Raw genomic sequence first — 22,543 nt, forward strand, 5'->3', positions numbered from 1 at the left:
ATATAAAAAGCATATTTTCCTTTTTCTTCTATATTGATTGTTTTTAACAGTATGAAACTAAACTTTTTAAATTCTTGCATTTTGTATCTCAAAGTCTGGTGGTCTTGAGTCATGTTAGGGGGCACTGATATTAGCTACTTATTTTTCTTCAAAATATAATTCAGGATCTCATGTATTTCAGCAGAGGACCACAACATGTTGACATATATTTCTGACAACAGGACAATGCTCATGACTTAAGTCTTAGATTCACTGTATTGGCAATGTTACTAGAAATGCACATATAGGTTTTTATAGCATAGATGGTGTTATCTTTTAAATAAATTTTTTATTACTGTGGTAACACATGCCCATTTCAGAAAATTTACAAAATTAGTAAATTATAAAGTAAGTAATAGGAATAAGTCATAATCTCATTACCCAGAGATAGTAACTATTAACATTTCTGTCTTTGTTTCAGTTACGTTTATATACACATGCATGAATGACATTGAAATTTTAATTTAATTTATATTGAACTTCAGCTCATTTGCTGAAGTCATTTCTACTTTTTATAGACAAATATGATATAGCTTTTTTCCTTTTGTATTGATTTCAATAATAGTTTACTTTCTTTTTATTCTCGTATATGAGATATTTATGCCTTGCCTAAGGGAAAGCAGTAGTTAATACTGTCTTATTTAGGCAAAATATAAATACTTAATGTTAAATACTTTTAACAACATTTTAAATTCCTTTCTTTCAGAGATACTTCACTTTTCTTCCATATGCTGGGAAAACTTAAAATAATATAAATAAATTTCAATTAAACATCCAATGCTTTGGGAAATTTAGTCAACGGTAGGGGCATAATTTTAGTTTTACTCAAACTATAGTACAAGAAGCGGCTGCTAAAGAAGGTGTACAAGCACAAAATGCAGTTTTCTTTGGAGAGCTTTATTGATGATACATTAAATTCTGGAATGATATTTCTTTAATAATAAAATAATCTGTTTAATATTGAATGTAGCTTCCATGATATATTTCTGAAATACAGGTAAATTTAGGACACAGAATACATACCTATACCAAAAAAAAACCTGTATCTTCAAATTTCCACTTCCAAATTCTAATCAGTGATTCAGAATGTAGCAGTGTAATGACAGTTATACACTCCTGTTTTTTAAACATTGTCAGGAGTTTTACTTTAATTTTAGGGGATAATATTCGACATTTTGTTTGCATTCTTGAAGTAAGGAAAACTAATAGAGACTAGTAGAGACTACATTAGATCAGTGAGTCAGTGGATCCAGGTCTACTACATTAGTTCCAGGTCAGTGGGTCAATGTTAGAGGATTATGTGGTGATCCAGGGATCATTAGAAACAAAAATGGCAAGTGGGGAGGATACATGGATGCTGTCCAGTTTGTGGGGTAAACAGGCCTAGAATCTCTTATTTGTAGGACAAGTCTGAGCACATTGTGCTAGAGAAGCAAGAATTGACTTCTGTAAGAAGAAGGAACAAAGTGAATAAAGGAATATAGGAAAGATAACAGAGAATTGGAGCATTGATGCAGTAATTTGCGGAAAAATGGTGTCTGGTGAAGAAGGTGTAGAGAAAAATGTCCACCTATGAGGACATCTGGGCTGTTGCTGCCTTTTTTGGGTGTTGCTATCATCAAGCTTTCATCGAAATGGTTTGTTTTTCTAAATGGTTTTTCTTATATATTCTGATTTTTTAAAAAGACAATATAATGAACATTTCAAACTCCATAGCATTCTAATTATGTTTGTCTGTTAAGTGTCTTTAAAAAGCATAGAAGTTGTATTCAGAAGACATGCCTTAGAGTCCCACAAACAGCACTTACCAGACGTGCAATCTAGAGCAATGCCCTTAATAAATTCAAATGATGCACTTTAAAGCCACTTCTAAAGGCTGAATATATGTATATAATACATTTAAATAGGAGATTATAATTGTCATTACCGTATTTAGTAGGAAATGTTGAGTTGCTGTAGATAGAAAAAATAATAGATAAATTTTTTTAATCACCTATAGTTTTATACATTTTTATTTATTAGACTCTTATAGTTGCATACATTTTTGTATTTAATTTTTAAACATATAAAAAAACAAAGCAAACAAGATGACACTCATGTAGCCAATACTAATATTTAAGTATCAACATTTTGCCATATTTCTTTCAGGTTTCTGTTTTATAAAAAAATAAAATGTAAAGTAAATAGATATTAATATAATAAAATATAAATAGAAACTCTTACATGGTCCCTGTTACACGCTCTGACACAATGGATCCTAAGTGCTTTATAGCTTGTAGGAGCTGAGAATATGTACTCTCTGCAGACAGTCTCCCAAATACAGATGCATGTTCAGCAGCTTCTCCACAACTCATCAATAAGATGTCACTTCTGCTTTCCAGGAAGGAAAATGGGTAGAGAGAGGCAGGAATATCACTTTCATTTAGGTCCTGCCAGATAGAAAAATAAAGCCAGAGGAAAATAGATTCCCAGTGAACATATCCATATCCTTTTAAGACTTGCCTTGAATCCACTCAGTATTATGTTTCTGAGATAGTTTCCTTGATAAAATGTAAATCTAGTCATAAATCTAGATTATTCATTTTAACTATTGCTAATGGAGTGGTTTGCTGGTAAACCAGCTTTGGAGGATGAGGTAGAGAATCCATGATTCCAGCATTTGCCAATTTCTGTGGTGTTACTATGTCCACTCTGGCAGGTTTCAGGCTATGGATGGCTTAACTGTCTTACAAAGTTCCTGAATTTTAACAATTGGCTCTCACAAGCCAGTATGAACCAGATCTAGCATGTTACTATATGTGCATGTGATATAATGTGTATTCTAGAGTATGAATGAGCCAGACTCTATCTTCTACCTGTGGGTAATTAGAGTGTGTCCAATTTTTCATTATTACAAAAAGTGATTCAATAGGTATCTTTATACATATGTCTTTAGATAATATAACTAAAAATGGTATTCCCAGACCATAGGCTATACCCAGTTTCAACTTTACCAAGCATTAATTAGCTGTTCAAAATGATTTTACCAATCTATGCTCCACCAGTAGTGTATGAAGTGTGCTATTCTCCAAGGTGATATTGTCAGACTTACTGTTACCAATATGATAGGTGTGGTGTGATTTCTAATTGATGCTTAGTCAGTTTTTAAAAATTGATTTATTCAATTTTCACAACTGTCCTAAGGAATATGTACTATTATTATCCCCATTTTAAAGGCTGGATAATGGACATCTGTGCTGCTAGAGCTATCAGACTTTGAAGCTTATACTTTTAATACTGTCTAATTCTATACCTTTTCATTATGTATTCTCAAATAATAGTCACTCAAAAATATTTATAAATTCATGACTAAGGCATCATTTTCATTAGTTTTATTGTTTAGCAGATTACATATTTATTGATGTACTGATGAAAATTAAACTGTCATTCTTGAGACAGATTTCTATTCAGTTGGTTTCTTCAATACATAGATGTTGTCACAGTACCAAAATCTAATTCAACATCATCATTCTATTTAATGTAGACATGACATTACAGACTAGTGAGTAGAAGACCATGGTCTGTTTGGGTAAATATAATAAATGCTTTTCTGTAGAAATTGGTTGAGAACCCACAGCCATGCAACATTTTTCATCTATGGCCTGAATATTAGGTTAGAGAGAAGGCTTATTAAGTTCTCATTTGATGGAAAGCTAGGGAAGCAAATGGAAAGAGATGCCAATAGCTTAATCAGTAAGATTAGAATTTGAAATAGGTTTAGCATAATGAACAAGTAGTAAAATAGCAAACAATATAATGTGGTAAACAGATGAATTTCAGGAGAAAAAATATTGCTAATAACAATTAGTAAGTAGAGTGGTGATATGTACAATTAAATCTCATTTGAGTCCTACTAATCTAGAATTCATAAAAATTCTATTGAAAGATTCAAAAGTTGTTCTCACATCATTTTTGTCATTGTAATTTTGGTTCACTATTTCTTGCCCATGATTACGTTTTATGCCCACAATTAGCATAATATTTACAAAATTAATGAATTGATAAATGGACATCTTACCTCTTTCAACTCAGGAAATCTTAATACTGTTATGGTTATGTGTGAATACTTTGCTACTATTAAATCTTTGGATTATTTTTTCACTACTGCAAATTGCACTGTTGTGTGGATATTATTTTTGCAAAAATATTTTATAATTTTTTCCAGTGTAAGTGAAATACATTAATTGACACAATTTTCTTGTTGTGAATTGATTCTTCATTGTACTTCTGGGAAGATGTCTGTTAATCTCGTTAGACTTTTTCTGTCACTCACACCTAAAATCACTGGTTTATAAATATTCTCAGTAACATTCAGTTAGTTATGTTGTGTTCTTTTTTTGAGTGGACAAACATTTATGTCAGTATTATATTTTAATATTTTCAGATTACTCAAAGACTGTCCTGGTTTCGTGTTTACCCCTCGATCAAGGGAGGAACTTCCACCAAACTTCCCTAGTGAAATCCCCGGAATCTGCCATTTTCTGGATGCTTACCAACAAGGAACAAACTCAAAACCATGCTTCCAAAAGAAAGATGTGGAAGATGGCAATGCCAATTTTTTAGGCAAAGCATCAGGAATAGATTAGCAACCTATATACCTATTTATAAGTCTTTGGGGTTTGACTCATTGAAGATGTGTAGAGCCTCTGAAAGCACTTTAGGGATTGTAGATGGCTAACAAGCAGTATTAAAATTTCAGGAGCCAAGTCACAATCTTTCTCCTGTTTAACATGACAAAATGTATGTACTCACTTCAGTACTTCAGCTCTTCAAGAAAAAAAAAAAAAACCTTAAAAAGCTACTTTTGTGGGAGTATTTCTATTATATAACCAGCACTTACTACCTGTACTCAAAATTCAGCACCTTGTACATATATCAGATAATTGTAGTCAATTGTACAAACTGATGGAGTCACCTGCAATCTCATATCCTGGTGGAATGCCATGGTTATTAAAGTGTGTTTGTGATAGTGTCGTCAAAAAAAAGGTTTTTGAATAGAAATTACATTCTTTGACACCCTCAGTTCTTTCAAACTTTCAACTCTGCATTTTATTGCATTTTCTCATTTAACTGTTAGTATATGTTTGAATATAGGCTGACTTTTTTTCTCTATTGCACTTTCTTCTTTTTTTCTTTTTAGAAAATAAGCAATTAGGGGTTAGATGCAATATGAATATAAAATAGTTCTGTAAATACCAAATATTATTTTTAGTTCTGGAAGTTAAAAATACTCTCCATAGTAACGTGTGTTATAATAATAAATATTTCTTTTGTTTGACTTTTTTAAAATTCTACAATGGTAAAAGCTATTTTAATCCATGTTAGCAATTTAATTCCTATTAATTCATTTTACTATCATAATAGCAAAGTATTCAGAATAAAAGAGGTTTATATCTTCTATTAAAATGCAGTAATACTATTCAAATCTAATTTAGCTGGAAGCAACATGGGAGTAAAGTAATCATCCAGGGGACCCACCATAAAGGACATTGGTAAAACATTTACACACGTAAACACACGTGCAGGCACACTTGGAACAATATGGACCCACTTCAGCAGACATCTTCTATTGCCATGCTGAGCTGTTTAAAGTTTTAAGAAGAAAATCTAAGTATGGAAGTAGAAAATAAGACTTGTTCTTTTGGTGGATATCTCATTTTTCTTGAGTATTTGTGCTGAACATTTTGGTGTATGTCTATGAACTAAGAATCAAGTTTTTGTCTCATTAAATATACATATATGAAGTGTTTTTATTCTACTTGAAATATCTTGACTTAAAAAAAACGACTGTTAGTATTGATGAAGCAAATGAGGCAGTGACTACATTATGGAAATGTCTAAGTATTTTTTCCGGAACTTCAACTTTTTCTTTTTGTTTTACATAAACATTTAAGCAGCTAGGAACTTTTAGTTTTAGTTAGGTCAGTTGAAGTTCTCTGGTGAACTAAAAAATCTACATTTTGGTTGGGGATAAAGATTTGATTTTAAAAACAGCTTGAATTTAAAGCAAGAAAAAGATGAACGTTATAGTTTTAAAATCAATATTAGCAGAGCCATAGATAGGCTGAGCTCTTATTTGGGGTTCTGAGAAATAACTCAGTTTAAAACTTCTTTAACTGCCTCCCTTAGTACCCAGGCTAGCCCATGGTGACATCAGGGATATTCATTACTGATTGGCCTCTAGTATTCCAAGGGTACTACTATAGATATTACAATGATGCTGTTTACTAAGTGATAACCCCGTATCTTACAGGACTGACTTTGACTCAATAAACCACTCAGCCTATTATTGGAAAGTGCCATAGGCCTTGAGAAAGTATAGTTACATCCTCACAAATATATGAAGTTAAGTCACTACTTACAAGGAAAAAAAATGTAAATACATTTTTCTTTCTGGAACCGAACTCTTATTATGGGGAAATAATAGAAATAAAGAAAATGTAAAAGCATGAAATGGAATGTAGTCTTGATCAAACATTTCAGCAGACCTCAATTTGCTTACAATCTGTACTCAAAAAGTTTATAATTCAATCAGAATTCAAAAAGTATTTTGTGTGTTTGTGATGTATTAGCATATACACAAAACAAATGAGGGGAATGTATATAATCTTGGTGAAAAGTTGTATGGGAGTTTTTTGTACGATTCCTGCAACTTTTCTATAAACGTGGCATTATATCTAAATAAAAAATTACCAAAAAACATATTTTCACAGTGAAGTTAAATCATCTGTGATAGGTTCCCCAGACCAGCCTACAAAGGCCCATTAAATACAGAATAATTTGTGGATCTTCAAAGAGGATGAACATACATTTCCATGACAGAGTCCATACGAAATTCACAATTTAGATGCTAAAAAATTTAAGGAATATCTTTTTTTCTCTATCTTATCTGCTTTGAAGCATAGCGATTAGCGAGAAACTTTTCAGATCCAGACCACTGATGGTAGCCAGAGTAGAGACCCTGGAGCATAGATTCTTAAAATAAATAAGGGGCCCAAGTCAGAGCTTTGAGGTATTGAAGATGGAAAAATAGTGGACAAACAGCCTGTAATCAGGTTGGGGATTACGGGTACTGAGTTATGTTGCCATTTAACTATTCTAAAAAATAAGACTGGGTCTCAAGACTGCTTCCCTAACAGACTGTTTCTCCTGAAAATGCAGGAGCTATTCTTTCTGTTCTGGTTATATAGTTTCCATTCATGGCTTCTTGTCCTGTTGTTTTTTGTGTCGAGTACACTATATAAATTATCTCCTTATACATATTTCTCAGGCAAGCACAGAGTTATACTGAACTTTTCTAAAGATGCTTTGCATCAAGAAGCAAAGGGAAATACAGAATTAAAATGTTTCTTTCCATTTTGCTTTGTTTTTCTATATCGATCTAGACTTTGTAGGAAAATGCAAAGCGTATATTTAAGAAAACCTAAATAAGAATAGATTCATTTACTCATTTTCATTTATTCATTCATGAAGAATTTATTGAATGCCTACTATGTGCCAGGAATATTGCTATATTTTTGAAATTTAAGGATAAAATATGGCCCAATCTATCAAGAAAGGAAAGTGAAAGACAAATGTAAGACATAATTACAACATTCTGTGGGAGCACAAAGTAGGGGACTCAGTTCTTAGAGAAGTCTTTTGGTCTTAGAGTTCATCAAGCAGAGAAGGGGAAGGACATGGTCCAGGAAAATAAATCAGCACACAAAGAGATGGGGTCTTGAGGGTGCATAGTACATTCTGGACAGCCAGTTACCTGGGATGAGTTGGGAGGGAGGAGAATAAGGACAAAAGACCATCTGGGCAAAAATCACGAAGGGGTATGTGTGTCATGTAAAGGTGTGCCATGATAGTTATTCATATTGCTATTGTAATATTAATATATAGTAATTAACTACACATGACACAGCTTTACATGACCTTAAGTAGTTATCAACATTACCATAATAGTAATATTAATAACTACAATAAGAGCCATTATTATTCACTTGAGGCACTTGTTCAAAATAGATTTTACAAAAGAAAAAAAAAAAAGAAGCAACATGAGTAAAATTAGATCCATTGGCTACTGACTCCCTCTCCAACAGTTTTAAAGCTACTAGATAAGAGAAGCATCAAGTCTTAAAGGAAGAGAATGGTATGATCAGATGTGTGTTTTCCAAAGACTATTAGAAACAGCATGGTTAAGGATAGGGTGGATATTTACTTGCACAGGTGACTGAATGAACATCTGTTTATACATCAAGGGAAAATGATTCATTTTATATCCTGGATATTTTACCATAAGTATGAGCATAAAGCTGGGATGTCTGGCATTGGAATTTTATGTCACTCTCAAGGCTAATTAGTCTTTCAGATCCTTTGGTAGGGAGGAAAGAAGAGTTGCTTCAGCATTTTGACTAACATTTCTTCCAAATTTCTTCTCCCTGATATTTCCAGCCACGCCAAGGCAAAGACTTCCCAGCTCTGTCTCAGGTTAGGTTAAAAGAAGGCATAGGATGGAAGAGGGTGGTCTGTGGTAGGCCTAGCAAATGAAAGAGATGAATAAACAAGAGTGTCTAGTCTAACTAGTGCCTGAGGAATAGACATCAGTCCTCTGAGATTACCCAGCTGGAAAACTGCCCAGATGGAGCTTTACATGCAAAGCTCCAGTGAAGTCTAGTGCTGTATAATGCTTTAAATCCACAATCAAGCCCTTGTTGATGCAAATGTTAGTCGCCCAAAGCAGAATGGGTTAACGAATTACTGCAGTGGTTTTAGGTGCATGGGTTTGACCCATGTAAATCATTTTAATAAGTAAAATTGAATCTTTGATACATATTTGTTGAGGAGCTTGTCAGATCACTACCTTTCACTGAACAGTAAAACATGGATCATTTATTTCACCTCATTTTGCACTTCAATGCAATTTCACTCTTTAGGTGGTTGTACTTGGACAGTTAAATGAAGACTGTCTTTAAGGGTGCAGGGATGGAGAACACAGCATATATGAGAGGTGGGAGGGCAGAGACGCCTTGCGATTCCTGTGAGGAGGGACTTACCGTCTCCTCCAAAACAGAAATTCAGTGCTGCAGAGACGGTAGCAAAGTGCAGTTCTCTTGTTAAAACACAGGCTAAAAGCAGTGACTGCTTAACTTATTAAGCAGAGAAAACCAAAATGTCATTTTCAACCAAAATTGAGTGTTAGAGTTTATGGTCTCTGTTATGATACTTTTCAAGACCTGGGAAATATTTGTATCCTTTAGTGAAAAGGGGAAGAATCAATTACTGAAAGCCATAAGCTTACAGTAACGGAGCCAATTAATCCTTTGTCATCTTTGTTGAGTTTAGTTTTCTTCTGTTCTTAGCACGTCAGCTAGTAGATCTTTGATGAACTGTTGCTCCTCTTTAAATGTTTCTTTTATTATATTGATGATGTGCACTCATTCAGTATTCTTATTTTAAGCTGCAGTAATCACTGTACATTTGATTGCCATCTGTACTTCCCTTGAAGCAGCTTTGCTTATTACAGCCACACCTGCATCTGTTTTGACTAGCCCACATAACCTACACATTTTTCATCCAAAGCTATCCCATTACCTTATTTATGTCCATTTATTTTCATATATAGTATCTGCCAAAATAGTAGCAAAAGTTTTATCAATGTGTAGATTTCAATCAGAAAAACCTAAGCAAAAGGAAAAAAAAGTGATATTCTAAAAGCCACACTTCTTTTATCACCAGTGCAGTTTTTTCCATCATCATAAACTTAGTTTTATGAAAATGTTAATATCTTGGATTTAAACATTGGGGTAGAAATCAGGACAAAATTTAAATGTCATATCCAGGACTTAATCTCAGATATTCTGGTAGAAGATATTTAGATAAGGTTGTGGCTGCCTGTCAAGTTTTTTAATTTTTTAAATTATATAATGTCAGAAAATTAAATCACAAATGAGCCTTCCAGATTGTGAGGAAAATTACTTGGCTGAAAATGACTTTGCATAATGCCCAAATCTTGAAGTATCTGCTCAGATGTTTGTTCCATCTGAAATGCTGCCAAATCCATCTGTATTGAGGAAAGAGCTATGAGGTAGTTTCAGAGAAAGTGAAAACAAAACAAAGCAAAACAAAAATGCTATTACAGAAGTTGGACAGCCCAATGTGTTAAGTATTATACACCTGGAACAAGAGCAGCAAAACTGAAGCTCTTTGGAAAGTTATGGCAACAGTGGTCTGGGAATTCTGGGCCTTTAGAAATAATCATTCCCAGTGATACAGGGATGTGCAGCATCCAGACACTGCTTAATCACAGTGAGCTGCCGTCTTCCCTGAATAAGTTGTATCTTATAACATTGAAGTGAATGAAAATGTATTAGTATTTGAGAATTTACTATTCCTTCACCTCCTTGCACATGTAAATTAAAGATGTTTTGGAAAATATGAGAACTTGATGTTCACTGCCCTAGAGCACTATTCTCCAACCTTTTAGATTCCTGCAATCTGTTAATAAAATATTGTAGGACAACAACTCTATAGACTGATACATGCTGCTCTCAATCCATATACTACATATTAGGACAGCTTTTCTTTTCTAAATGAGCATGAATATAAATAGAAATTCTAGTATTTTCTTCACCTACCCCAGTGAATCATCTTTATATTTTACTTGGGAAACTGCTACAGTTGGCTAGTGGGTCTTCACTTTTATTGCTTTGAGAAATGGATAAAAGACATAGACTATCACCCCTCCAAAAATGTGCATATGGCCCCATACAAGACACATGTACTGCCAGAGCTTGGGGAACTCCCTAGAATCTACTCCTAGACCACCCTAGTGAAGTACCATAGACCATATTGTCTAGATGGGACAAAATAATAAATTTTGACTAAGAACTTACTGTTTAGAGAGAAAAAATAGTAAATAATGTTCAAAATGAGAAGACAATAACTGACAAGTCTGTGATTTTTGGGTTAGATGAGACCACTTTTGATTTTTGAGGAATAAAAGGAGTTAGTTTTTTGGTCCTGATGTGTAAAATGATTCATGGGGTTTCACATACAGACAAGTAGTTTTCTTTTCAGCAAATATTTAACATATCTCTCAATATATTTTTCACCAGTTTTTGGTAAATATGCATTGCTATAGGTATACCAAGTTTTTTTTGTTATGTTTAGTAACTAATTTCATTTTTTCTGTATATGTAAATATAGCTATTGGACCCTGCATTGAAAACCTTCTTAGTACTAACAACACTCCTTTTATTATTACCTTCATAGTTACTTTAAATGACATATTTATTTCGAGTTTTACTTCTGGCTGAGTTGCAAAGTCTATGAGAATGTTACCTCCTGTCTCAGAAGCTTGTTAGTTATTGTGCCACCTAAATATTGTAATAAAAGTGTTTAAATAAAAATCTTCTTAAAATTTAAAATGAGTTATGTTTAAAAAGAAAAATGAACTTTATATCAAGGAAAAACACCATTGTCCCAAGTTATACGAATATATTTGCTTTGATGTAGGTCTTGCTACTAAAGAGAGAGAAAACTTCCAACGTAACAGTGTGGAAAACCAGGATTAACAACTATTATGTCAGGCATTTGCTCTGTACAGGTCAATGTATTCAAATCCCTTTTCAAAAAGTTATTGTTAAATAGTGTACTAACATAATCAAAATACATTTATTTCTAAAGCTCCTATTTCCAACAAAACTCATATTATACATAAAATCACAATTGTTTTAAAACCTAAATTAAAAAAAAATTTATTTCTATTTATAAAAAACAAAATTAAAAAGTCTCAGTTTTTCAAATCATATATAAAGTCAAACTTTTTAGAAAACACCAACCGTAGAAATAAAACTGTGCTTGGCTTATCCAAGTGTAGTGGCTTATAACAGAAACTGGGGGATAAATGTGTCTCCATTGCACTCTGTTGGGAGACAGTTTTCTATCGATCTCCTGAATGTTATAGAGGGCAGGGGTACCTACTGCCTTTGTTTAATATTATCTTTTCAAAGATGTCTGTATAGCAAGCAGCCTTAGAAGACAGAGATAATGTCTCTCCCAAGAACAAAGAGCCGCCAGGCTTACTGCCCATTATAAAAGATTTGTGTTCCTAAACTCAGGATGTATCTTCTGGCGTGCAACTCACTGTGTGCAGGTGTAGTTTATTTGTTTTCACATTGCTGTGTGTGACCCAGTGAACCAGTGCAAGATAACGCTGATACCCTTGGTCAGGTGCTATAGTTGTGTGAGTCAGTGAAGTTCCCTTTCTCTGACCCAGGAGTCACGTCTTCTGCCAGCATCCATGAAATTGTGGCAGTCTAGCTGTTTAACTTGCAAGTAGAGTAAAATCTCAGACCCTTCACAATTATTGACAGTTTGGAAATGAGGTTGGGATGCTGACAGAAACTTGGCTTCCTGGAAGAGAAGAGTAAGGGTATTGTGAGCTGATTAATGGGATTGGAGGAAAAAGTTCATGGGAATCGATGGCAAATGTGGTAACCAAATTATAAATCAGCAGAGTGAGAAATGGTCCCCAATTTTATCACCTGCTATTGAGAATGAATTCAGAAAACATTGCATCTCAAGCATCAGAAAGTAGGTTCAAAAGCAGTGGCCTAAACAGTGGCTTGGTTGTTAACTCTCACTGGGTGAGCAGATTCTTCCTCCACTGGGTGTCAGCCTCAAGTCTACTCCTCAAGCCTCAAGTCAATGAGATAAATGATTGAGGTTAGACCTGTAGCCCTGGAAAATTCTTACAGGTCATAACATATAACCATCCTGGGTTAGAGGAAGGTTCTGACCTTCTTCAGACAAGAGTTACAGATATATCCATTTTAAAAACAAAAATTAGTCAAGTAATTGTTTTAAATGGACAAATAAAAATTGTACATATTTTTGATAAACAACATGATCTGTTGATATATGTATACATTGTGGAAAGGCTAAGTCAAGCTAATTTACATATCCATTGCCTCACACACTTTTTTTTGGAGAGAACATTTAAAATCTGCTCTTGTAGCAATTTTCCAATATGAGGTACATTGTTATTAACTATAGTCACCATATTGCACAATAGATCTCCTAAATTTATTTCTCCTAAGTGAAATTTTGTATCCTTTGACTAACACAGTGTACATTTACACTGACCACAAAGAAGAAAATATATGGCCCCTATGAGCAGAAACTGAGTAAGCGATTAGAACTTGGCTAGTTCATTTGAGAGATGAGGGCAATAGATGCATAACACTTGTTGAGGAAGAATGGCAACAGCTGGGAAGCCTTACGGCTGAGCCCTTCTTGCAGTCTTTCATGCCAACCTTGGATTCTTTCAGAGATGACAGTTAAAGGTCTCAGAGTGTTTTTCAGTAGGTCCTGGCTCCAATGGGAGTTTTGTCCCTTTTGGAGAGATTTCTCTGGAGCTGACAAACTTCCACAGGAAAGCATACATAAGGCATTGTTATGTTTTCAACTGTCCCCACAGAAGTCATAGCCTCAAGTACCTTAGAGTGTGTCTTTATGTGGAATAGGGTCATGGCAAATATAATGAGGTAAGTTAAGATGAGGTCATACTAGAGCAGGGTGGGCCACTAATGCAATATACCTGGTGTCCTTATACAAAGGAGAAATTTGAACATAGAGACACACAGGAAAAACATCATGTAAAGATGAAGGCAGAGAGTCAGTGTTACGTAGATATACCCAGAAATACTAAAGATGTTCAGCAAACCTTTAGATGCTAGGTGGGAGGCATGGAACACGTTCTTTCTCAACAGCCCCCAGAAGCAACCAATGATGGTGACACCTTGATCTTGGACTTGCAGCCTCCAGAACTAAGAAACAATAAATTTCTGTTATTTAAGTCACCCAGGCATTATGGTTCATTATCAAGGAAACCCTAACAAACAAATACAGGCGTTGACTAATCTTTGGGCTTTTAATGCCCCTGAATTGGGTATGCAACACTGATGAAAGCGACTCACTGGAGAATGAGAGACTGACAGTGTAGATAAATTGCTGAGGTCAGACCTGTAGCCTTGGAAAACTCCTATAGCACTTGCATTTAAATTGGACAAGAACTTAAGTATATTTGCTTGATAATGAGGCACCAAATGTCTCAGATTAAGGTGCATCCCTTTTTAAAAAATTATCCCTGTGCCAGTCAATCCCATGTCAGGTGATGGGTAGAAATCCATGCCCACAGTCGGAATACAATGCTGCTATGGCTGCTTGGTCAAGGGACCCCCAAAGCTGAAACAGATGGTGTCAGTTATGAGCAATCTGCCACCTATTAGAGTGTTGGGCAGGTTGAATACACTGCAAGTTCATTTGGTTGAGCTGCCTCTGTGTGCTCATAACTAAAAGTAAGTGCTCCTCCCTTATTGGTGGAAAGCTACTCTCTACATCTTACACCTAACCCATCCCTCTCTCTCTACTCTGATCTCAGCTACTTTAAGGAGATAAATGATTAGAGGTGAGGTCAGGCTCTCCCTGCCTCCAAGTGGAATCAAAGGCCAAAAGCAACTGCCCAAGTATAGCTGGGGGCAGAGATTTTGGGGAGGGGAGGGAATCATAATTTTATGCCTCTGTTGTATACTGACACCCAGGGCCCTTGTCAGAATGGGACACACAAACTTTCCATTAATAGAGTTTGGTCAGAAATTAGAGTAGGGAAAGGAGACAAGTGTGACCTTCTGTTTGTGGTCTTTTTGGCCAATACAGTGTATTATTTTTTGTCATATCCATGTCTGAATATACATTAGAAATTGAGGTGCTCACACTGCCTTATCCAGGAAGTGGTGGAAAATTCTCCTGATCAGTAACAGCAGTAAGTAGATAAATGCAAGCACCAAAGGGGCCCCACAACCCTCATGACCTTTCTGAGATACAAGTTTCCATGTCTGATAGTCTTGGTGATTGGAGCCTCTGATAAAGGGGGTCAGCCTTCACCCAGAAGTCTTTGTTGAGGTCTGGACTCATCACCTCCTTGACACAGCTGTTAAATCACTTTGATGTAAAGCCTTTTTGGCTTGCTACTATGCTCCTTCAAAACAAAATACCTGACCCATAAAAGTCTTGAGACTCTCCAGCCTGATATTTTCATTTTGGGTGGGTTGACTCAGACTCAATGATTAATAAGATGGAGAGGGCCTGACAATCCCTGCTTGGTAAGTGGAAATAGTATATTCAAGAATGCAGCTATCCCACTGCCAGCAGCACCTTGTCTTAACATAAAAAGTAGCTGCTATCACTCTGGGGAAACCTTTATTCATCACTTTGCCATTTACAGCAAAGCTGCTGGCTCAATGGGACCTTCAACTCAAGATTTTTCTTGTGTGTCCGTGCCTCTTTCCCTGATGGTTCAGCTAACCTGAAACCCAACTGTGTCCTATTTTTACTTATTCTTAGGTTGTTGCTAATGTCCTAGCTGTTTGGTCTGCTATTTGGAATACTACATATTGGTAGATTGAAGGCACCCATTTTGGGGATCATGAACTCTGGAAACAAACTGCAATTGATTATGTCTGTATTATTCATGTAAATTACAATGGAAAGGACCTGTTCCGTAAGGACACTGGCTGGATCATGCTGCCCAAGTGGTAGTACAGCTTGAACAGCAGCCTGGACCTGTTTCAGTGTCTTTTCTTGTTCTAGGCCCCACTCAAAACTAGAAGCTTTTTGGGTTGCTGGATAAATGGGCTAGAGCAACATATCCCAATACGTTGTCTGCAGAATCCAAATAGACCCACTAGGCCTTGTGCCTCTTTCTTGGTCATAGAAGGGGCCAAATGCAATAATTTATCCTTCACCTTGGAAGGAATATCTTGACACGCTCCACTCCACTGGACCCCTAGAAAGCTTACTGAGATAGAACGGCTCTGAATTTTAGTCCAATTTATTTCCCACCCACTGATACACAAATGTCTTACCAATAAGTAGAGAGTGGTTGCTACTTTTGGCTCATTATGTTCAATCAATATAATGTCATCAAAGTAATGGACCAGTGTAACATTTTGTGGAAGGGAAAGGTGATCAAGATTTCTGGAAACTAAATTATGACACACAGCTGGAGAGTTGATATAACCCTGAAGTGGGAGAGTGAAGGTGTATTGCTGTCCTTGCCAGCTGAAAACAAACTGCTTCTGGTGGGCCTTATAGGCAGGTATGGAGAAAAAAGTCATTTGTCAGATTAATAGCTGTATACCAGTTACCAGGAGATGTGTTAGTTTGCTCAAGCAATCAAACCACATCTGGTACAGCAGCGGAATTGAAGTAATGACCTAATTAAGCTTAAGATAATCCACTGTCATTCTACAAGAGCCGTCTGTCTTCTGCACGGGCCAAATAGGAGAGTTGAACAGGTATATGGTGAGAATCACCATCCACTGTATCTTTCTTCTTTATATTGGCACTAATTTTTCTAATCCCTCCAGGTATGTGGTATTACTTTTGGTTTAGTATTTTCCTAGGTAGAGGAAGTTCCAATGGCCTTTCTTACCAGGTCTTCATTCCATAGGTTAGGGAACCAATGTGGAGCTTCCTCCAGCTATTAATTATGTATATGCCAATTATGCATTCTGGAACTGGGGAAATAACCACGGGATGGGTTCAGTGACGAAATGGACCCATTGTGATTTAAACCTGAGCTAAACTCCATCGAACACCTGACTTCCATTAGGACATACTCTAACTAAAGGACCACAGTGATCTTTCAAGGCTCTCAAATCAATATCAATATCTCCTTCCCCAGAAGGTCTGATGATTTCCTTTTCCCCATTGCACAACTACCCTGGTAAAAGGCTGGAGGTTCCTTCGGGGAAGAATGAGAGAAACATTACCAGTGTATGTTTTTGATGGTATACTAAGTACATCCTCAAGGGGGCCAAGCATTCCCTTCATTCAAGGGGCTCTGACTTTGTAAACTGGCTCAAATCTGGGAATTGATTGAGGCCCATGATTCTCTGTTTTTAAGATTCAAGTTAAACTTTTGTTTGCTTAACCTGAAAATTTTTGCTTACATATGTCAGGTAAGAATTTAGTAGGCTTCCTATCTATTTCATTTATAAGAACATCATGATTAAGTAGCCAATGTTATATATATCTACATGAGTCACACTATTCTGATGGATGCTTTGACTCTGCTCTCTATTAAGGTTACCACATCTACTTTGCTCTTGGTGGTTGAGTTCTGCCACTTGGTCCCTGTCACTCCAGATTTTATTACCCTCATTGTCTGTAGGTTTCTTAATTCAGTGACTGCAGATCCCAAAATAAGGCCTGGCCTACAGAAAAGAGAAATTACGGAGCCCTTCAAAGATGCCAGTGCTGCTCTCACAAATTTATTTCTCACAGTACTGGCGAAAGGTATGTCTTCTGGACACCACCAGTGTAAGTGAGTAGGTCTTACACGACAAATCCATTCTAACATTTCAACCTCCCTAAGCCTTTGAATCCCTTCTTCTACATTAAACCAAGGAATGTCTGACATTTCCAGTTCACTCTCTGTGGGCCATCTTGTGGTCCATGATTCAGTCAACCAACCAAAGAAACTTTTAGAGCCTTTTCTAACTCCTTAAGCTGCGACACTAAATGCAGAATCTCTGCATAGCGAGCCCATGTCAATAAATTCAGCCTGATCCAACTGTACACTGATTCTACCATCATCCCACATGCTTCATATCCATTCTCACCATATTCCCTGGATTTTTGTCTGCATAAGTTAGAAAACAAAAGTGGTTCTTTTAGAGTGTGATGCACATCCTCATGGGTCATATGTTGTACCTCACGTTCAGAGGCCTGCTAAAACTAGAGTCTAGTTATAGGTCTAAAAGGAAAGAGGGATGGTTCGGATGGGCCCTGAGAAGAAACAGCATTGTCTTGCATAGCAATGCTTCAGAGAGACTATTACCATTTTGTCAGGTAATGCAGGGTTAACCCCTCAGATAAGGATGGAAAGCCCAATACAACTGGGGGTGAGGATGCCACTGTCATGGAGGGCTGGGAGGCCACTTTGCCAGGGGTTAGGGAATTAGTTCCACTGGGGCTGGGGAGGCCGCTTTCAGTGGGGGTTGGAAGACTTCTTCCACTGGCAAAGAAGACTCATCAGAATTTAGGGACTCAATGTCTCCAGCTTCATCAGGATCTTTGCTCATGTCTTTATCTTTAATTTACAGAATCCCATTCTTTCCAATTGATGCCCTCACTTTAGTGTAGAAATCCTGCAAAGCTGGAAAGTCAACTTCATTGTAATTTAGCCAGTTGCAGAATGAGGTTTTGTGTTTAATTTTTAGCAGTTTCAGTCCTGTGGCTACAGGAGATAAGCGTCTTTTTCAGGGTACCCATAGAAGCTATTTGATTATTTATACGGCTGAGAATTTGAATCCCTGAGCTCATTCTTTTTTGGTGCAACTTTTCCAATGACATTAGGACAAACCAGTCTATGTCGTTATATGCATTAGTTTTCCAGAAACTTTCAAAAATACCGTATACAAAGTCTCCCACCTCCTTACTTCTTATTAGTGGCTCACTGGAAGCATATAGTGCAGGTATTTTGCATATCTCTATTGCCAGATCATGCCACTGACTATCCCTGCACTCTTTACTACTGGAAATAGAGTCCAGTATCTTTAAATCTAATCAGATTAGAGAGCCAGTTCCATAAACCTTGGAATGAATTCAGAAAACTCATCCTTAATATGTTCCTTTAGAGGCAGTCTCAGTACCAAAATCTATATTAGAGTTTTCCAAAAATATGTATTATTATGAGAAACTGGCTCAGGTAATTATGGAAGCTGAAAAGTCCCACAATCTGCTGTCTGCCGGCAAGCCAGAGTCCCAAGAAAGCTGGTGGTATAATTCAATCCAAATCTGAAGAACTGAGACTGAGGGGAGTTTATCTAAATCCCAGTCCAAGGGCAGGAAACAATGAGATGAGATGGTGATATAGTTTGGCTCTGTGTCACTACCAAAATCTCACCTTGAATTGTAATAATCCCCGCATGTCAAGGGTAGGATCAGGTGAAGATAATTAAATCATGGGGACAGATTACCTCACACTGTTCTCATGATAGTAAGTGAGTTCTCATGAGACCTAAGGGTTTTATATGGGGCTCTTCCCCCTTTGCTGAGCACTCATTCTCTCTCCTGCTGCCCTGTGAAGAGGTGCCTTCCGCCACAGCTGTAAGTTTCCCAAGGCCTCCCTAGTCCTGTGGAACTGTGAGTCAATTAAATCTCTTTTCTTTATAAATTACCCAGTCTCAGGTATTTCTTCATAGCAACGTGAGAATGGACTAATACAGAGGGTCTAGCTCAGGCAACGAGGGAGAAAAAAAGACTGAATTCTTCTTTCCTCTGCCTTTTGTTCTATTCAGGCTTTCAAATGGATCAGGTGATCCCTACCAAGGCAGGGGAGGGCAATCACTCCACTGAGTCCATCAGTTTGATGCTAATCTCATTCAGAAACACCCTCACAAACACACCCAGAAATAATATTTAATCTGGGCACCCTGATGCCAAGTCAAGTTGACACATAAAAGTAACCATCATATGAAGGATAAGAGATCTTCAAGTGTCTTCAAGGAAATCCCAGCAGTAGATCATGATACCTGCATGAGACTATGAGATGTTTTCAAAGGGAAGCCATCCTTGAACTCTAGAGAAGCTTCCTTGAGGAATAACTAATTAATCATTTATGCACAAAATGCAAGCTGTTATCCCTGTGATGGGAATCACACAGTTAAAAATTTTCCCTTTTAGCTGAAGGGATTAAATATACCACCTTGTCTGCCAAAGGCATTCAGCTAATACACAACTTGCTGGCCAGGGTCCTTATGAATGATAATAAAATCACCCTAGACTTTCCCCTTGCAGGCCAAGGTGGAGTCTGTGTAATTGCAAATACACCCTGCTGTATCTGCAATAATGCCTTTGGCTAAGTGGAAAGATCGCTAGAGAAACTTGAGGAAAAACATACCTGTTTTTCTAAGGTAGACTTGGTGGTTTAGGGATTAGTTCAGCTGGTTGAGTCCAGGACTGGATAAGATGGTGAGGCAGGGCATGACAGGTCAGTTTTGCAGGTTGGCCTCATTCTACTGCTTGAAGTCCTGTTGATAGTAACTGCAGTTAAATGCTATATAAGCCAAATTGAACAGATTTAGGCCCAGCTCTCCTGATCAGATTAATCAGAGTGCTGATGGACTGATGTATCCAAGGGAAAATTCTCCAGAAGACAAGATGGTGTAGAAACTAGGGGAGAATACTGTTGGGAGGTGGTCTCTCATATTTATGCATGTCTTATGAGCAGAGGTTCTGAGTGTCTTTGTTCTGCACTAGCTTTCCTGGGGTGTTTGTACAGCAAATCGTCTTGGAAGATAGAGATAGTATTTCTTTCTGGAGCAAGGGGCAGGCACGCTTACTGTTCAGTATAAAAGATTCATGTTCCCTAAGTTCAGGGTTCCTCTCTTGTGATGTAGCCTACTGCATGGACAGGCGTTACTTGGACCTCTTTTCATCACCCTGTGGACTTGGGACTCAAGAAACTGGCTACTCTGGCTATTGCTGTTGCTGTGAGTAATACATTCTTTACTCACTGACCCAGAAATCTTACGGTTTTTGCCAGCATTACAAAATGCAGCAGGCTAACTTATTAACTTCCAAGTAGGATCAGGTTATCATGCTAACATTTTTAAATCATATGATTTCACAAAGAAATCGAGATCACTCATTGTATGCAGCATCACTTGTCCCACAATGTCTCTACAATGAACCGTTGTCCCTGAGTGGGAGCTGCCTCATTTGGGTGGGGTAAATATTCATGATCTACTGCATTCCCCAACGCTCACTTTTACCTCAAATCCACCCAACCTGCCTCATCACTTTATATTACCTGCTGAGACCCATGGTCTTTGCATGCCTAGTTAGTACAGCAAACCTGCCCTATGAAAATTAATGATAAAACTAAGTGTGAATGTTCACTGTGTAAAGTCTGTCCTGTAGAGAATCCTATGTTCTGTAATAGGGTTCTATTAAATTACTTGCCTTTGTTCATATAAATGCGATTTGATTCATGGTCATAAGAACTGTATGTGGCTGTCAGGAATACAGTTTCTATAAAGTGAAGTTCACTTTAATACCGTTCTCCCACAATGCTGATATGCGATAGCTGTATGTATTTTGTGGATGACACAGTAGTGGTGGGTTTGCATCTGAGCTGGCCCAGTGACACTGACATTAATAGCCATGGGTTGAGTCCCCAGAGAGTCTTTCAGTCAGCAGTTCAGTAATTGTGACTCCTTCTGAGCCCTCTTTCTGATGATTTTGAGAGCAGGTAGAGTCTCAGCTCATACCTTTGCCTCCTGTTCACAGAAAGAGTAACACTCTTGAATAGAACCTGGTTTCTTCACACAAGGGCAAGGCACAGCCCCTCACCTGTTTGGATGGATAGAGTGTGGGATAAATAATTTACTCAGCTTCTTGCCCTAAGACGGATGTTCATGGAAGCAGAGTTATCATCACAGTAAGCAATCTTCAGCCTGCAAGGTCCTGAGCTGGTACTGTGTCTTTGAAAGTAGCCTAATCTTTCAATAAACAAACTCAAAATTTGAGTGACTCACAGGAGCAGTTCCTTTCTCACATATTATCTAAGGATGAGGGTGATGAGGGCTGAAGCTCCACCAGCCACTCATGACCTGGACCAACAGATCACTCTCATCTTCAATGTCACCTTGAGTATATATATCTACTGGGCAGTTGGAGAAGGAATCTTGGGGAGTATGTGTGGCAAATTTTTAAGTTCAGTCCTGGAGGACACACGTATTCCTTCTGTTCACATTCTCTTTCCTTGAACAAGTGACACAGCCAACCTCACTGCAAGAAAAGCTAAAAGAAGATTGGAATGATTTGCATTATCAGTACAATTCCTGCTACAAGTAATTTACTGAGAGCTAACTCAGTGTCAGGCAATGTTCTACACTTCATGGTACACATTATTTGAGAGTTTCACATAATCATGAGACTGAAAGTTTTTGTCTAGACTAGGCCCATCTTGAAGCCTGGGAGCAATGTAATCCTGAGTTTAAGTGACAGTAAAGGAAGAATCAATGTGGCAAGCCATCTGAGCCTGCATGGGGAGAGTCTGAAGTCCCCTCTTCGTGCTCCCAAATCAAGAAAACCCTGATAGTGCTCCATGGATTGTGTCCATCAATTACTGAGCCTGGTGAATCAGAGCTAGAATCCTTTAGCTACAGGTAAAGATGAAATACACCTGAGTTGAGAGCAATACATGCTCTACCTATTATAAACCTGAGTGGTTCCAGGTGGGAGAGGTAGAGCAACCCCCCCCCCCCCCCCCCGCCCACAAAAGGACATACCAAAATAAAGAGGACTTTTATCACCTGGCAAAGGCGGCAGGGAAATATCTCTTACTGACAGGTAAAAAAAAAAAAATGTGGATAGAGGGTGCCACTTCTCTTTGGCTGCAGTG

At 37.2% G+C, this 22,543-nt stretch overlaps 1 protein-coding gene and 1 long non-coding RNA gene across 26 annotated transcripts in view; one reads left to right on the forward strand and one right to left on the reverse strand.

Moving 5' to 3' along the window:
- GUCY1A1 (guanylate cyclase 1 soluble subunit alpha 1) overlaps window positions 1–11,492 on the forward strand; it is a 70,212-nt gene extending 58,720 nt beyond the window's left edge. For all 24 annotated transcript variants that reach the window (NM_001379669.1, NM_001130683.4, XM_005262957.4 and 21 more), the window contains one exon: window positions 4,463–11,492. In NM_001379669.1, the coding sequence (NP_001366598.1) occupies window positions 4,463–4,664 (202 nt within the window). In that variant the 3' untranslated portion in view covers window positions 4,665–11,492. The remainder of the gene's footprint in view (window positions 1–4,462) is intronic.
- The window catches only part of LOC105377506 (uncharacterized), a 33,998-nt gene that overhangs the window by 1,150 nt on the left and 10,305 nt on the right, over window positions 1–22,543 (reverse strand). For both annotated transcript variants that reach the window (XR_007058484.1, XR_007058483.1), the window contains exons 4-7: window positions 20,036–20,165; window positions 13,793–13,895; window positions 2,263–2,409; window positions 1,967–1,992 (exon numbers count right to left, since the gene is read on the reverse strand). This is a non-coding gene — a long non-coding RNA (uncharacterized LOC105377506). The remainder of the gene's footprint in view (window positions 1–1,966; window positions 1,993–2,262; window positions 2,410–13,792; window positions 13,896–20,035; window positions 20,166–22,543) is intronic.

Source organism: Homo sapiens, chromosome 4 (genome assembly GCF_000001405.40).
Source record: "Homo sapiens chromosome 4, GRCh38.p14 Primary Assembly".
NCBI classification, from domain to species: domain Eukaryota; kingdom Metazoa; phylum Chordata; class Mammalia; order Primates; family Hominidae; genus Homo; species Homo sapiens.